The sequence below is a fragment of the Homo sapiens genome, chromosome 16, assembly GCF_000001405.40.
Source record: "Homo sapiens chromosome 16, GRCh38.p14 Primary Assembly".
Taxonomy (NCBI): domain Eukaryota; kingdom Metazoa; phylum Chordata; class Mammalia; order Primates; family Hominidae; genus Homo; species Homo sapiens.
In genome coordinates this window covers 79,331,248-79,349,215 of record NC_000016.10, presented here as the reverse complement: position 1 = coordinate 79,349,215, position 17,968 = coordinate 79,331,248, and the positions used below count along the sequence as shown (strand labels likewise).

The 17,968-nt window shown below is 44.4% G+C and overlaps 1 protein-coding gene across 5 annotated transcripts in view, besides 1 other annotated feature; it reads left to right on the top strand.

The window, feature by feature from the left end:
• MAF (MAF bZIP transcription factor) overlaps positions 1-17,968 on the top strand; it is a 398,116-nt gene that overhangs the window by 251,522 nt on the left and 128,626 nt on the right. The window lies entirely within an intron of this gene.
• Positions 9,058-9,258: a silencer, noted in NCBI's record as "peak2651 fragment used in MPRA reporter construct". NCBI's record gives its function as "represses an SCP1 promoter by STARR-seq MPRAs in K562 erythroleukemia cells {active_cell/tissue: K562}" and the evidence as "EXISTENCE:reporter gene assay evidence [ECO:0000049][PMID:32103011]".

Sequence of the window (17,968 nt, the reverse complement as noted above, 5' to 3'; positions counted from 1 at the left end):
AGCTCTGCTGCCCTTTCACACTGTGTGCCCTTGGGCAAGGCAGAGGACGTCTCTGAGCCTCCTTTTTCTATTCTGTAAACTGAGTTAATAACCCCGCCACTGAAGTTATGAGAATTAGCAAACACCTGTTGCATAGTGAGTACTCAACAAATGTTAGCTGTCATCATTTGCTGCAGATACAGCCAATCACCACATCTGGGGGAAGAGCAATGGAGGGACCAGGCTCAGGTGCAGGGGGAGTGATGGTGGGCACACAAGAGGGTCTGTAGAATCAACTTCACCAGATCTAGGGCCTTGAGGTCAACCAGCTGGGTCACCGGAACGCTTAACAACACCTCTCATGAGACAGGACCTTGCCATTTAGCCCCTCGAGAATGGATCAGAATATCTGCCCTGACTCATTTTGAGTTAATTTCAGAATCACCAGAATATGACATAAGAATCACTAGAATTGCTTTTCAAAACACAGTCATTTCCAGATGGAGGTGAATCAGTTATCCCTGAAACCCGCCCTGACCATGTCGCCATGCAGGCAGATGTCACTGGGCCCAAGCCATGCTTTTGTTTCCCCGTCGTTGGAGTTTGGCCTGATATGATGATACGGACACTTTGAATTCTTCAAAGAGTAATTCTCAGTTACCTTTTTCCTCTTTTCCCCTTCAGGTTCAACCCCTTTTATCACACTAAAGTGCCAATCAATATTGCGAGATAGATGTTACATCTTAGCTTTTTATAACATTACGTGTCCCAGAAGGGACACTGTATCTTTAAGGAAATGGACCCCGTATCCTGTTTCTGAAGGATTAAAACTCTTTAAAGAGACAGAAGAGGCTGTAAACCCCGATCATATTCTTATTCTGTCTTCATTATCCTGTCCACTATCTATCCCTGCTGAGTAAATCTGGTTGTGTGTTTCTCCAAAGTGGTCATAAGAAGAAATTTATTTACTCCGCCTTGCACTGGAGGAGCATTACTGAGCTTCAAGGCTCTCCAAAGTAATAAAGATTTTGCAGTGTGTGCAAAAGGAACAGAAATTCAGAACTTCTTTCCCCCTCTGAGGCCGTTTGGCCATCCAAAGGGGGAGTCACTTCTCATTTTCTGACAGGGTTTATTTCCGTACGATTTTCCAATTAGCAGGAAAAGGTCACACTAATGTTGACGCTGAGTAGGGAAAGAGGATCGAACTATGCAAATAGAGACATCATTGAAAGGACAATATTAAAAAGAGTGGAATTCCTTCACTCCCTAATTTAAAAATTATATATACATGTATACATATAGATGCACGCACACTCATACACACACATCCCTTTCTTCCACCACGGAGAGAAACAAAGGTGATTGCACTTGACCCACTGTTCTCGCCTGGGACAAAAGAATCCATGGTTCCTGAGTCTGACCTCTGGGGTAACATGACCGGTGACTTGGTACCTAAGACAGGAGTTAGGAGATCCCTGAGCTCTTGGCCCGGGTTGTGCCACAGAGCTGGAATCCACCTGCCAGTTCAACCCCTCTGGACCTTGATAATGGCCGGACTGTCCCCAGCCCGGCGGAGCTGACTGCCAGCATATCATTTATAAACCCGGCTCAGATCTTTCTCTGACACCTCCCCTGCCGCTTTTGTTCCCCGCTCGGTGCATGCGAAGCGCAAGAACTTTTCTCGATAATAGGGAGGGCTGGGAGCCGTGTCAGAGAAGATGTACTCCAGCCGTGCTGAGGACAAAAGTCGCAGATGCCCATTAAAACAGATCCAGGGAACAGCTTCGCTTTGGGTTTGGAGCCGATGCTCCTTGTCAACTCTAACGTGCTATGCAAATGGTATGACCGAGACTCCTGGCTCGCTGCTACTCGCATGCTGCTGTCTGTGACCCACTCACTAGGTGAGGCCCCGGGGGTGAGCTGGTTGGAAGGCAAGAGCCCTGCATAGAGGGAGGCCTGGGTCTGCACACCTCTCACTCTCACATCTGCACGCCCACACGTGCAGCTGCAGTCAAAACGGAAAGTTCTATTCCTCCAGCAAGAATCCTTCTTTCTCATGGAAGTTCTGTGTGGCTGCACAGATTTTAGCAAATGAAATAGCCTGGCCAGTTTCTCACAAGAACAGGAAGCATTTGTTGAGAGCCCTCTGCGTGCCAGATCCCCTACTAGGTGCTGGGTTAAGGAGCTTTCTCAGGGTCACACAGCTGCCATTTGGCTGAGTGTGAGTTCAGATTCAGGTGTATCTGTCCTCATAATTCCAACCAGTCACACCCAATGTTGGTCTTACTTTATTGAGGAGCTTAAAAAAATAAACCTAATGGGATTATTTTGACTGCAGGTTAAATCTTATCAAATGCTAACAGCATCATCTGCCAATTCTCCCTTCCATGTAGGAAAAAAGTGCAAAAGGACGGTATTTGGGTATTTAAACATCAGAAATGTGCAAATAGATCTCTACGTGATGCCCCTGTCAAGTTCTTGTTGTTTTCAGTCTCCATTACAAATATGCAGTATAACTATGAATATGGGGTACTGGCTCACACCCCGTGTAGAAGACATATGGATTCCCTGGTATCGTGTAGATCCACCACAACACTTACTTTCACCTCAAATAATAAAATGAAAACCATCCATCATCACCTTCAAAATCCTTCTTCTATCCTTGAGGTTGAAGACTAATGCCTTGGAGGGCATTATTTGGATTTAAATGTGAAAGAGAAAGGTTTTTTTTTCTTTGCCGTTAGACAAAGAATGACGCCCTTTTTCTTCTGATTTCAGAGTATCATTTGTTTTTTATTTTTTAGCAGTATTCATTGTAGCCAATTCTTGGCCTTGTTTTTCATTAGAACAAATTGAGGTGAGAAAGAATTACAAAGGATGAGTTCCTGTCCTTTGTAGGGACGTGGATGAAGCTGGAAACCATCATTCTCAGCAAACTATCGCAAGGACAGAAAACCAAACACTGCATGTTCTCACTCAGGTGGGAATTGAACAGTGAGAACACTTGGACACAGGGTGGGGAACATCACACACCGGGGACTGTAGTGGGGTGGGGGGAGCGGGGAGGAATAGCATTAGGAGATACACCTAATGCTAAATGATGAGTTAATGGGTGCAGCACACCAACATGGCACATGTATACATATGTAACAAACCTGCACATTGTACACATGTACCCTAGAACTTAAAGTATAAAAAAAAAGAATGAGCCCTATCGGAGAAACATAGTAGAAAAGCTGCTGATTTATGTTTCAAACTCCATTCATAACAGAATGAAATTGATCAAATTCAAAATTATTCTTTTGGCTTTATCTAGAGGAAATTATAGCTAATCAAAGCAAAAAAAAAATAAGTAAACAAATAATTACAGTACCCAAACATCAAAGCAACCTAAATCTCCAGCAATATGCAGCTGGTTAACTAAAATATGATATACACTTAAAATGGAATACTATAGAGACATTATAAAGCAAGTTAAAGATTTTTTTTTTTTTTTTTTTTTTTTTTTTTGAGACGGAGTCTTGCTCTGTTGCCAGGCTGGAGTGCAGTGGCGCGATCTTGGCTTACTGCAAGCTCCACCTACGAGGTTCAAGCACTTCTCCTGCCTCAGCCTCCTGAGTAGCTGGGATTACAGGTGCCCACCACCATGCCTGGCTAATTTTTGTGCTTTTAGTAGAGACAGGGTTTCACTATGTTGGCCAGGCTGGTCTTGAACTCCTGACCTCAAGTAATCCACCCACCTCAGCCTCCCAAATTTCTCACAGGCATGAGGCACCACACCTAGCCAAAAAAATATTTTAATGATGTCTTTTCCAGTTTTTAGAATACAAGTTCTTTCTCCTTTTTATTGTTAGCATGTTATTATTTTAGAAAATTCTTATCGCCATTGTATTTTAGGACAAATTTGGATGAAATGAGGATTAAACAAAATTGATTTTGAGCAGAGTGACAAAAGATGACCAGAAGTTAGGTGACAATAGGGTGGTCAAGAGTTTAGGAAGCACATTATATTATAATCAGATCAAGTAATATATAATGTACTGACAAATGAGAAGACTATACAAATCATTCAGCAGGTTAGGGAAAAAGGAGGTACAAGTGAAAACAATAACGGTTAGGGTACATTTACTGAGCTCTTTGTACATGCTGAGCATGATTCTAAACACTTTCATTAAACTGAAATATTCCTATTATTATTCCTTTTGTAAATCTAAGTAAACTGGGGCACAGGGAAGCAAAGTAACTTGCCCTGAGGTCACACAACAGCCTGGGAGTGGTGGAGAATATTCCTTCTTTTTAATTACATTCTTCACAAAAGAATAGAATACATTTGTTTAAAGTTATGAGGATTTGCCTCTCTAAATGTAACAAAATGGAAGGCTACATTTCAAATCGGTCCTTATGTTCTTGACAATGATTTCTACCTTTAGCAAGAATATTGGAAGCATGTGTTAAAAATGCAAAATTCTGAGCACCAGATCAGACATACCTAATATAAATAAACAGGATGGTATAACCCAAAAATCAGTGTTTCAGTAAGCTCTCTAGATGACTTCAAAGTGGCTAACTATGATTCGGACAGCTCTTTGCAATGATAAGAGTCATCTGGGATACTTATTATATAGACAGTTTCCAAGAGCCTCCTCTAGAGACTTGATTGAATGTGTCTGAGATGGGACGTGGAAACCTATCTATCTTTAGTTCAGGCAGTATCTTTAAACCTATGTCCTGGATTGTATGGGACAGTCCTGATGTATGCTGTTGTCCAAGCATAGTTATTAAGAGCGCCCTCTTCCAGGTTCAAAATTGTCCCATTGTGGACAATTAGATATATGCTTAACTAGGACCCCAAGAGATTTATACCCACCAGACTTGGATATGAGCTTGGGAAGCCCCGATCTTGAAGAATGTCAGTGACTTGGGTCTAATCGCCCTTAGTCACTTACTAGCTGGGTAGTCTCAGGTGAGTTATTTAATCTCACTGGGGCCTCAGTTTCCTCACCTGCAAAGTAAATAGAAGGACTCCTAACTCCTGGGCTGTTGAGCAGTATAGATGCAATTTTCATCCCTCCTAGAGAGGCAGAGTGCTTAGGAGGTGTGTAGCAAACACCAGCTTCCATCTTCCAGGGAGTGTCAGGAAATTCCTTGGATCAGCTCTTGGAAGCCTCCTCAAGGTCATGCTCACAGAGTTTCTTTTGAATGCAGATACTTCTGTGATGAGCAAATGACACTCACTGGACCAGGATCTAGAGAGCAGATAGGAACATTTCAAAGTTTTCAGAGGATGCATAAATGCAAACATCACATTGATTTCACCTAGGAAGTCCAGTTTTGCTTTTAACTGTCAGAGCCACACCCTGAGGTTGTCTATCAAGAAAAAACAGAGTGTGCAGGGGACCGTGGGGGGTAGGAAGACCAAGTCAATAAACCATTTAGAAATTTTCAGACCTGTTGCCAAAGACAGAAAAATCTGCCATCCTGTTTGTAGCAGGAAGAATACTAATAAATAATCCAAAGAGAGACATAATCCAGATGACATTTTACAGATTATTGATTGAAAAGTCAGGAGTCTGCTAATATAAATGGCCTTTACCACAAAATTTGCATTCACGACAATCACTTTAGGCATGTCTCTAAGCCAAGGAAAGTATCGATATCACTGGCACAAATAATGATACAGACCAGGCAATCTGTTTTCAAGCAAAATGAAAAAAGTTTCCATTTACGATTATGGTTGGTGTGGTGGTGTGTATAATTTTTTGTGGACTCCGTGGAACACTTCAAGGGTTATCTGCACAGATGTGGGTTTCAATAATATGACACAATTGCCCAGTTCCAAATATGCTCGTTGCATCTTTTCTGAAGAGGTCATTCACAGTCTAGATGCTCAAGTCAGAGGCTAACATAGGAAGTCCTCTTCTATGCTGCGAGACACTCATGAGGAAATAACCAGGAAGAGAAGAACTGGAGCACACACATAGATTTTTTTGGGGGGGGGTTGGGGCTGATTAGATCCTACAGGCAGAATTTGCTATAGTCTTAGATTTGTGGCACCAGGACACATTTATTTCATGAATGATACAATGTCACCCGAAGGGACGTGAATGCCTCTTTGCTCCTGTACCTCATTCGCTTGTTCTGACAAGTCTTAACTTTCTCTTGCCTCCAACACAGTCTCCAGCTAGCTGAGGTGACTATCAGGTAGTGTCAAGAGGACTTTTTTTCTGTAAGAACCTCATATTTCTAACGTTGATGAAAAAAACTACCAGAGAAGATTTGCACATCTTCCTTTTTTCAAGCAATTAATGGTAAGGAGAGCAATTTAACTGTAAGAACGAACGCTTTGGAGGCCTAGAACCCCATGAACTCTTAATGAGTTTCAATTCTGGTTCTGCTATGCATGGACCATGTGATCTGTGCAACTTCTTTAGTCTTTTCTAGGCCTTGCTTTTTACATCTATTTTTTGGGTTAGTAACGTGACCCACCTCACAGAATTCTAGTAGGCGTCAATAGTAAGATGTTTTGTATTGTATCTATTTCATTGTTAGCTTTCAACAGATCTTAATTTTGTTATGATGATGGTGATGGTGACGGTAATGGTGACAGTGGTGGTGATGGTGATGGTGACAATGATGATGATGGTGATGGTGACAGTGATGGTGATGGTGATGGTAATGGAGATGGTGACGGTGATGATTGGGATGATGTTGATAATGATTACCTGCCCAGGAAATTTAGGGCCACCTCTTGGAATCCTTACAAATCTGATAAAAGAAAAAAAGGCTCAGAAAGTTTTGGAGAAGTGTTAAAAAGTGGGGGTCCAAGATTCAAGCCCCTTTAACTGCCTCATGCTGCAGCCCCTCTTGGATGTCTTTACTTATGCAACACTGTGAAGACACACCTGGATGTGAACCCCAAAGACGCTGGAGAGCAACGAGGGCCCTCTTTCTTGGCAAGGGGCACTTGTAGAGCAGATTCAAGATAGAAAGAAAGTGAAGCAGGCTGTGTGGTGGGAATGGGCTTCCAAGTGGGAGAGAGCTGATTGGGACCCCGGGTGTGCCACCTACCTGCCGGGTGACTTTGGGCAAGTCCCTGAACTTCTCTGAGATTCGGTGTTACATACCCAAAATGGGGCTAACTCTAACTGTAGTTTTCTCACGGTGTTTTGAAGATCAAAGAAATAAGTGGATGTTATCTATAATCAGTGTGTAGGTGCTTAATCAAAGGCAATCATAAATTTTGTTGTTGTTCATAATAGTTGTAGCAGCAGCAGTAGCAGTGGTTGAGAGATCACATCACTTTCCATCTGGCTGCTAAGTGCACAAACATCATCCCTGTTCTGTTCATTCTGCCACATCCAATCCACCAGCAAGTTTATCACTTTCTCTGCAGGATGAGTCTCAACTCTCCAAGTCACCCATCAGCATCTGATGGGAGTGGCCATCTCTTGGCTTTATGACTGCCACAGCCTGCTCACTGATCTCTCTGCTTCCACTCCTCCTTCAACCTTGCAATCCACTCTGTGCACCAAAGCCAGAGTTATATTGTTAAAATGTAAATAAAGTCATGACGCTGCTCTACTCAAAAGTCTTCAATAGCCAACCTAATAATAATAGCTGATGACCAGCAGTGTGCTAGAAAATGCTGAACTATATAGTCACTCCAGGGGTGGGGAAGAACCCTGATTTCTAGCATCTGCCAATTCCTGTAATGTAAATATTCCACTGTGGCTAATTTCAAATCAATCTACCAAAGAGGTGTGAGTTGAGAAGAGATACCAAAGAGGTGTGAGTTGAGAAGAGATGCATGAAGTCAGCTCTCAGGAGCTGGTTCCAGTAGCCCGCTGAGTAGCCACTGAGCTTCCGTACCAAGCTGGGGGTTCCACTTCACAGCATGAGCTCATTTAATTCTCACCATAGCGCTATACAAGACAGGTGCTTTTGCTGTCCCTGTGATATAGATGGAGAAACTGAGGTACAGGGCATCTGGCTCCAGCACCTACCCACACTACATTGTCTCTCCTTCTTGTGCTTAAAATAAAATCCAAACTCCTTATCTTGTTGACAAGACCCAGAACCTGTACCTATGTTCTTCTGCCAGCCCACTGTGTGCCCACACCTGCCCCTACACTCTGCTCCATCACACCTGGTTCTTCCTGCTTCCGGCCTCCTTCCATGCTGCAGGCCTTGGTCCCTTTGTCCCTCTGCCTGGAAGGCTCTTCTCCAGCTCTTTGCATAGCTGGTCCCTCTTCATCTTGAGGTCCCATCTTAAATGTCACCTGACCACCCATCTTCCTCTGTCTTGCTATCCTGTTTCTATCGATTTTAATGTGTATCATACCCACTTAGCAATTTAGTTATTTGCCTAATGGTTGAATAGTAGTTCCCAATGGAAGATGGGGAATGAGGGGGCGATTTGCTTCCCAGGGGACATCTAGCAATGCCTGAAGACATTTTTAGTCATCACAACTCAGGAGCGGTGGCTGATGGGCTACTGGCATCTAGGAGGTCAAGGCCAGGGATGCTGCTCCCCACCCTACAATGAGCAAGATACTCGATGTCTCCCTATCACTTTCCAGGTAGAGATCCCACTCTGTGGATTTGCATATAAAGTTGTCTGAGATTTAGCTCCTAAATGTCCCACCACAAAGAATTATCTGATCCCAAATGCCAACAGTGGAGTGGCAAGTGTGAAAAATTTTGCTGTTGGCTGTTTTTCTGTCCCTGCTAGAATGCAAATTCCAGAAAGGCATGGCCTTGACTACTTTGTTCTCTGCTATATTCCCAGTGCCAGGCACTGGGAATACCTATGTTCTTATGCCAGGCACTGGGAATATAGCAGAGAATAAAGTAGGTGCTTTAAAAGCCTGTGTTACATGACTAAATTAAAAATAACAATACTGCTGCTCATCATCATCATCGTGACAATAATAACAAGGCATCTTTTTGAAGAGACACCAAAGTGTTGAAGGCAGGCAGGAAGAGGTAGAGAAGGTGCTGCTCTCCTGTTATCTCTGCTTAACACTCTTTTTGGACCAAAGACAGGGAAGGAGGGGCAGGTATTTGATAAAATCACCTCCTCCTCCGTCCCTGACCTCCCGGAACAGCCGTCCACTAAGTATTGCACTTGGCTAGAGTTCCCCGTAGTAATTTGGTTAATTGGATGAACAGGCACTTTAGTGACACAGACTGGATTTCCACGCTGCAGTCCATCAAAACTAATCAGTTGGCTGTGTTCCATTTCTCAGCAACTGACAGCTTTGCCAGGACGGTGAGTAGATGGTAACTTTTTAAATTGAAGAACTTGCTAAATAATGGCAGTTAGAACTTGGCAGGATGCTTTTAGCGGAGAAGGGGAGACAAGAAATCCAGTGTTGGCTTTGCTTTACCTCAAAGAGATAATCTTGTTAAGGGGCTGGCTGATTAAAAGTTTCTTTTAAAGACTGGTGAAAAGTAATCATCTTGAAATTGTACTTTGTTTCTTTTGTGTAAAAAGTAATTGCAAAGCTGGTGTACTGCATTCTCCCTTTCTATGGTGTTTATTACACTAACAACAAACAAGGAATAACAAATAATATTGTTATTTTTTACACACTATATGACTGATATTAATGTATTGTATTAGTTAGAATAGTCCTGGCTATATAAAAAACAAACCTCAAAATTTTAGCGGCTTAACACAAGCTATCTCTCTCCCCTAAGAGTCTGATCAGGAGTTTCTGGTTAGAGTGGCTCTCTTCCATACAGTGATTCAGGGACCCAGGCTTCTTTCATGTGTGGGTCTGTTATCCTCTGGGGCCTCAATGGCATCTGCACCCAGCCAGCAGAAGGAGAAGAGCATGGAGAAGGCACACTCAATTTTTAAAACCCATGACCCAGGCCGGGTGCGGTGGCTCACGCCTGTAATCCCAGCACTCTGGGAGGCCGAGGCAGGCGGATCATGAGGTCAGGAGATCGAGACCACGGTGAAACCCCATGTCTACCAAAAAATACAAAAAATTTAGCCGGGCGTGGTGGCGGGTGCCTGTAGTACCAGCTACTCGAGAGGCTGAGGCAGGAGAATGGCGTGAACCCGGGAGGCGGAGCTTGCAGTGAGCCGAGATGGTGCCACTGCGCTCCAGCCTGGGCGACAGTGAGACTCCGTCTCAAAAAATAAAAAATAAATTAAAAAATAAAAAATAAAAATAAAAAATTAAAAAGCCTTGACCCAGAAGTAATACACAACATTACATTCACCTTCCTTGGATAAGAATAGTCATATGGCCATCCCTGGCTGCAAAGAGGACTGATGAATGTGTCCCTTCTGAGCCATAACTCCATGTCATGGAAGAGAGAGCATGAGCTTTGGTGGCCAGCTAGCCATCTTGGCCACAGGTGGACAGCTCACCCACACTAACCCTTTGAGAAATTAGGATTTCCCCTTTTCTTAAACAAGAAAACTGAGGCTCGGATGGGGTAAGCAACTGATGCATATTTATGTCCTTAGCAAGGAGCCAAGTGAAGTGTCGCGAGTGTATAGATTATAAAGCCTGTATCTTCCCTCTCTCCCTCTTTTCTCCCTCCTGTCCATCTCTCTCCCATTTTTTTTCTTCCTCAACTCTTTTGTTTATTCTCTTCTGTCATCCTAAACCTTGAAAATTTCTAAAAAGTATTTTGCTTCTGTAACCTTGTACGTTTTCAACACGATTGTTCTTTTTGGCTTGAAAATTGTTCTCATTGGATATCTTTAACCGCGAGATTTGCCTAAAGCATAGTAGATTGTTGCTGAAGCCTTCATTCTGCTCCCAAAAGTGTAGAAAATCTTTAAAAATGATAGAAAAGAGACATTTCTAAAAAGCAAATCTGATACTGTCACTCCCTTACAGAATAATACTTGATATCTCCCCATCACTTTCAAGGTAGAGATCTCACTCTGTGACTTAGCATATAAAGTCATCTGTGATTTAGCCCCTAAATGCCTCCCTGACCTTCACTCAGACCTCACGCAATTTCTTGGAAGACCTGCAATTCTTCCACACGTATCATGGGTTCCCCTGTCGGCCTGGCCCTTGTCTCCATATATGCATTTCACTGTTGCAAACTGTGATTGCAAAGTCGGCCCTGCTGAAGACTACACCACTAGACTAGAATTGCTGACTTGCGTGTATGTTTTGTGTGTTTTTCCCCATTGGACTATGGGCTCCTCAAAGACAGGGACTCGTCCTATTTATTTCCATCTCCCAAGTGCCTAGCACAGGGCCTGACACAAAGCTGGTGCCCATTCAATCTGAAGTGCATACAAGAAGGAATGAACGGCTGCTAAGCTACAAGACAGGCATCAGAAGTAAGTAGTTTCCCATCCACTGGAAATTTAAATTGAGGAAAAGCCACGATTCCATTTACTTGGAACTTACAGTGTGGCATAGTAGCCTTGTGTGTGCATAGAAGGGTTTTATAGTTTACAGAGCACTGTCCGATAGGATCTTCTGTGATCCTGCCACTATGCTGAGAAAGAGATAAGGTGCACACGTGTGCTTGTGTGTATATGTATTGTGTTTGTGTGTGTGAGCACCTGCTGCTTTCACCCCTAACAATCATGTTTGACATGTTTAAAGACGATGGAGATGGTTTCTGGGTTGGGTCAGCTTGCTTGCAAATGGTATGCTGTCTTTGTGTTTTGTTTTGTTTTTGAGACGGAATCTCGCTCTGTCATCCAGGCTGGAGTGTAGTGGCACGATCTTGGCTCACTGCAACCTCCGCCTCCCAGGTTCAAGCGATTCTTCTGCCTCAGCCTCCTGAGTAGCTGGGACTAGAGGTGCGCCACCACACCTGGCTAATTTTTGTATTTTTAGTAGAGACAGAATTTCACCGTACTGGCCAGGCTGGTCTGGAACTCCAGACCTGGTGATCCGCCTGCCTCGGCCTCGCAAAGTGCTGGAATTACAGGTGTGAGCCACCATGCCTGACTGCTGTCTGTGTTTTATGGGTGCATTTCTTTTCATTGCTGATCTGAAGAAGATGGTAGTCTGAGTAGAGAGATTGTGAAGGAGGCCACGGTATCCACAAACTTAGAAACATGAATGAATCCAGGGACCTATGACCCACTCACTCGTCTTAACAAATATTTCCAGTGCTGTGCGGCGACCAGTCCTTAGCCCTTATTGCACAATTGCAGGGTTTTGTATGAAGGTTTGCAGGGAGCATGCCAGAGCCTATTTCTAAACAGTCTGATGATTTATTTGATGCCTTTGGATATTTAAGTAGTCTGCAGTATACACCAAGTGTCTGAAATGTTTATTTTTTCCTTGCTTTAACGTGTGGAACCTCTCACAACGTCTTGTACACCCCAGGCACTCAATAAATATGATTTATGGAAGATGTAAATAAATCCAAACCAGGATTATGTCTGCATTCATTAATTTGTAGCTCCAGAAGGTGGTCCCCTTCTCCAAACTTGAAAAAGAGAAAAATCCTCACCAAATTACAGAAGAAAAGAAAATGCAAAATGCATGACTCATGTGCCCAAGTAAAAAGTCATGAAACTCCCTGGAGTAAAATAAGAAATGCTTGACTATGTTCTCAGCTTTGTGACCTTGGGCCAATTATTTAACCTTCCTGTGTTGTCCCTTCTTAACCAAACACTGAACTGGAATGGTTAAATGATAGGACAGTGCCACTGAGCTTCAGAGAAATGAGGAATAGAAGAAAATAGGACAATGAAGCTAAATGTGTTGAGTATCCACCACATTCTAGGCAATTTTATTTAGGATTTCTGACTGTTTTCCTCCCAGCATCCCTGAAGAAGCTAATAGAATAATTAGGAACACAGATTTGCCAGTGAAGCTACCTTGGTTCAAACCCTGGCTCTGTTCTTTACTGGCTATGTGACCTTGGGCAAGTTGCTTAAACTTTCTGTGCCTTGGTTCGCTCCTTTACAAAATGAGGATGATCATAACAGTATTCCCTTGTGCGTTGGTTGTGAAGCTCAAAAGAAGCTGTGTCTATAATGCATTTATGTAATGCTGCCATGTGACAAGTAGTGGAGCAAGTGTTATTCATTACTACGATTCTCACTTTTAGATGAGACACCTGAAGCTTACAGACTTTAACCTCATGTTTCAGCTTACACTGCTCATGACCTTGGAGAGCTGGGTAAAGGATGGGGAAAGGGTGAGAGATTTGAGCCTAGTTCCCTCACTCCATAGCCCTAGCTTCTGCCCTGAGCGCAGCCCTGTGGTGTCTTTGCAGCTAGGATCACTCCGTCCCACATCCCCAGAAGCTGGGCTCTCAACCTGGCTGGACTCTGGGAATTGTCTATTTCTAAACATGCTCAGTGCAGGAGTCCTGGTCAAACTCTGGCTCTTCCCTGGCAGGTCCAACCTCACCGGGCTGTCTCTTCGCCCCTGCCTCTTGTCCCCTCTGAGCAAAAGGGAACATAAAACTTAAGAGAGAGAAGAAAATCACCAACCAGAGTTGGAGCCAGCAGCCAAGACCCATCCTAGTTTGTGGGTGTCCGCTTCCTGATTCCCGGCCCCAGCAGCAGGTTCCTGGCTGCTGAATTTGCCCTTCATGGAAACTCATTAATGATCCTTCTTCCCTGCCTGGGACACATCACTGCCTCCCTTCCCCTTGGGGGTCCCTGCCTGCTTCTCTGCTCTGTCTCACAGACTTTCTGTGGCTGACCCCCGACCTGCCTCTGGAAAGTCCAGCTGGACTGAAACATCACCGTTCCTACCCATGCCATTTCTGTAGGACACACTGGAGAGGGTCCTTCCTGTCCCCCCTGGTCTTTCTGAAGCTTAATTGAATTGAATACAAATATAAATTTCAAATGCACATTTCAGCTTGACTTAGCTCTTCTTCTTCGAAGAAGCCAGTTTAACAAGCTCTCTGCAGGCTGGTCGGCCATAGTACGAGGAAGTAAGCACAGTTAAGTCAAATAGAAATTGCATAAAGAATGATTTGAAGAGATATCCTTCATTAAAAATCACCCCTTCTCCAACAGCCCCCAAAATATGATTGATTTCTATTTCATTCTATGTATGTTCTTTTTCTTTCTTTTTTTTTTTTTTTTGAGATGGAGTCTCGCTCTGTCGCCAGGCTGGAGTGCAGTGGCGCGATCTTGGATTACTGCAACATCTGCCTCCCAGTTTCAAGCAATTCTCCTGCCTCAGCCTCCCGAGTAGCTGGGACTACAGGCACACGCCACCATGCCCAGCAAATTTTTGTATTTTTAGTAGAGACAGGGTTTCACCATGTTGGCCAGGCTGGTCTCAATCTCCTGACCTGGTGATCTGCCCGCCTCAGCCTCCCAAAGTGCTGGGATTACAGGTGTGAGCCACTGCACCCAGCCTCTATGTATGTTCTTTAAACACACACACACACACACACACATACACACACACACACACACACACACTTTATTGACGTATAACTGCCAAATTTGCCCTGCATGGAAACTCACTACTGATCCTTTCTCCCTGCCTGGGACACATTACTTTACTCCTATAAAGTGCACTAACCTCGAGTGCTCAGCTTAACCAGGCCCAGCTTCATGGGTATGGGCTCTGTACAACAATGCAGGGCCCCACACTTAGAAGGGCCTGCTTTTCATTGAATGCTCTGCTGTTGCTATCCTGAAAGTCCTAAGAATTTTTTAGCAAGAGACCCCTCGTTTTCATTTTGCATTGGGTCTTGCAAATTAATCATACAATCCTAAGATCAATGAATTATTCCATGTCTACACCCATGTAACCACCTCCTTGGTCAAGATATAGAACATTTCCAGCTCCCAGAAAGGTCCCTCGGGCACAATCTCAGTCAGCGCCCCCTAGAGGTGACCGCTGTTCTGACTTCTGTCACCCTCCCTGGCCTTGCACAGCGCGCACATGGGACTGTACGGTGTGGATTCGTTTGCTTCTAGCTCCTGGTGCGCTGCAGGGTCTGGACGCTTTGACCATGTTTTTGCATGACTCAGCAGCCCTTCTTTGCCGTCGCTGTGCAATAGTCCATTGCACGACTGCAGCCCAATGTGTTTTCCTAGTCACCTGTTGACAGACACTTGGGTTGTCTTCTGTTCTCAGCTTTAGGAATAAAGCTGCTATGAACGTTCTTGAATGTGTCTTTGGTGAACAAATGAAGTTACTTCTCTTGAGCATGTGCTGCATCCGATGTTTGTCTCACATTTAGTGCTTGTCCTATCTGTGTTTGTTTCATATGAATTAGGAATAAGTCATTCAGACAGTGAGATGTCTCATGGGAAAGCATGCTCCTAAGAAAGCTCTCAGATAGGTTTCCACACGTGGTTATATCACCAGATCCAGGTGAGATGCTGCGATCCGGCATCAGATAGGTTTCTGCATGTGGTGGTATCACCAGATCCAGGTGAGGTGTTGGGATCCGGCATCAGATAGGTTTCCGTGTGTGATGATATTACCAGATCCAGGTGAGATGCTGGGATCCAGCATCAGATAGGTTTCTGCATGTGGTGATATCACCAGATCCAGGTGAGGTGTTGGGATCTGGCATCAGATAGGTTTCCGCGTGTGGTGATATCACTAGATCCAGGAGAGATGTTGGGATCCAGCGTTAGATTGTCTCTTCTTTTCTTATTCTCATCATTACGCATAAAGATTCCCATGTCTTAAAAAATGTAACTCAGTATCAAATTTTAATAGAATTTTCTGCCTTTTTGTCCACCTAGCAAAATCATGGAAATAAAATTGACATAAATGCCTCCTGGGGTCTTGGGTAATCGTGTTGGCACATCCTATGGGCACCTCCTCAGGGCCGCTGACATGGTCCGTCGTATCGTTTTGGCCTGTTGTCATGTCCTCTTTGGTCTGCCCCACTGACTTTTTACAGAACTCTCCCCTGCAAAGTCCCCTATAATCTCCTGACTACTTCTGACAGGCAGAGAGAGTAGGATTCCGATTAACCCACCCCTGATCCCAGAGTCTGAGCTCAGGTGGGGTCAGATCCACAAAGGCAAACAGGCCTCATCTGGAAGGGACTCATGGCTGAGCCCCAAGTGATACAGCAGCAAAGTTCTTCTGGTCCAGCGAGCCAAAGAGACAACGCAGTCCAGAGCCAGGACCGCCATCACCCGCTGAGATGGGAAATCCAGAGCCAGGACCACCATCTCCCGCTGAGATGGGAAATGAGGACTGCAGCGCCTATCCTTATGCTGACTCTCTTCAGGCTATTCCTGACTCATCCACCTAGCACTGGGGGAGCACCTGCTGTGCGCCAGTCCAGCTGCCAGTGGCCCGGAGACAGGGGGTGAGCTGGGCAGTGACGTGCAAAAAGACACCATGGACTTTAAAGTCAGCAGCACCTGGCTGTGAATCCCAGCTTGGAGAACTGTGGGGCAGGTGACCTTGGGCAAACTACTTCCCTTCCAGGTAGTAAAGGGTAGTAGAAATAGTGCTGGCTTTGGAGACAGGCTTAGTCACCCTCAAAGCCTAACTTCACTGCTTTCCTCTTGTGTAGGCTGGTTGTTCGTCAGACTGTGCCTCAGTTTACTCCTCCATCAAAGGAGACTTGTAATAGTACTGCGCTCATGACATTGCTGTAAGGATTCAAGAAGCTGCTATAAAATACACATTGTCTGGCATGTAGCATGTTTGATAAATATTAGCTATCATAATTATTATTGTGAGTCAGGCGTGGTGGCTCATGCCAGTAATCTCAGTACTTTGGGAAGCCAAGGTGGGTAGATCATTGAAGTCAGGAGTTTGAAGCCAGCCTGGCCAACATGGCGAAACTCTATCTCTACAAAAATGCAAAAATTAGCTGTGCATGGTGGTGCACGCCTGTAATCCCAGCTACTCGGGAGGCTGAGGCACGAGAATCGCTTGAACCCAGGAGGTGGAGTTTGCGGTGAGATGTGACAGCGCCACTGCACACCAGGCTGGACAACAGAGCAAGACTCCATCTCAAGAAAAAAAAAATATTATTATTATTGTGCTTATTTTTTACAATCTTACCTAGGGGCAGTAGCAGTTAGGATTAAATGACATAATATGCACAGGTGAGTGAATAGATAGCACGTCAGTTTTGTGCCTAGTAAATGGTACGCATTCAATAAATAGTGGCAGAGTTGGAGCAAGAGTAGTTTTTATTTTTATTCTTGTCTGACAATTCATTCTACACATGTTTATCGAGTACCTAACATGTGCTAAGGACTCCTCTAGGAATAAAACAAAAACAAAGTTTCTGCCCTCCTAGAGCAGATGTTCTAAAGTCAGGTAATGAACAAATTAACTTTTACGTCTATGGAAAGTCAAACAGCAATGTTACTTTTAAAAAATAAAGTCGAGTGAATGATAGAGATAGGATGCCACTGTACTGGTTGGTCAGGGAAGGCCTCTTTGTTGAGGACATGCTTAGAGCAGAGAAGTAGGGAGCCAGGTGGGCATCTGAGGAGGAGCATTCTAGGCAAAAGGGATAGGAGTGTGGGTTCTGAATGGAGGGAATGAGGCCACAGTGGCAGGAGATGGGGGCAGAAAGGAGGCCAGGGAAGACACTGGAAATGTGGAGCCATAGCAGTCTAGATCTTACTCTCCAAGAGCTGGAGACCCATGCTGTGCCTGAGCCATTTAAAGGATGTCTGTGGCTCTTGTATGGAGCCCAGAGGAAACAGGGAGGCGGGTAGAAGGTATGACTATGGTCCAGGCCAGAGATGCGGGTGGCTCGTGTAAGAAGAGCGGTGGATGTCTTGGAAACCTTCTGTTCTGTATTGATCCATTTTACAGATGAGGAAACCAAGTCCATAACATCAAGAAAGAAAGGCAAACTTCAAAGTTAGTAGATGGAGTCCAAGCCATGAAGGGTGAAGGAGATTAAGAAATACTTGTTTCAGTTCAGCTGGAATGACTCTGATGCCCTAAGCGGGGCCAGCTGGCATTTAAGGTTTCTCTGAAGCCATTTCATCCAACACCACCCCGTTCCTCACCCCAAGTCTTCCTGCCTGTATATGTTGACTGATGGGAGTGGCAGTCACACACAC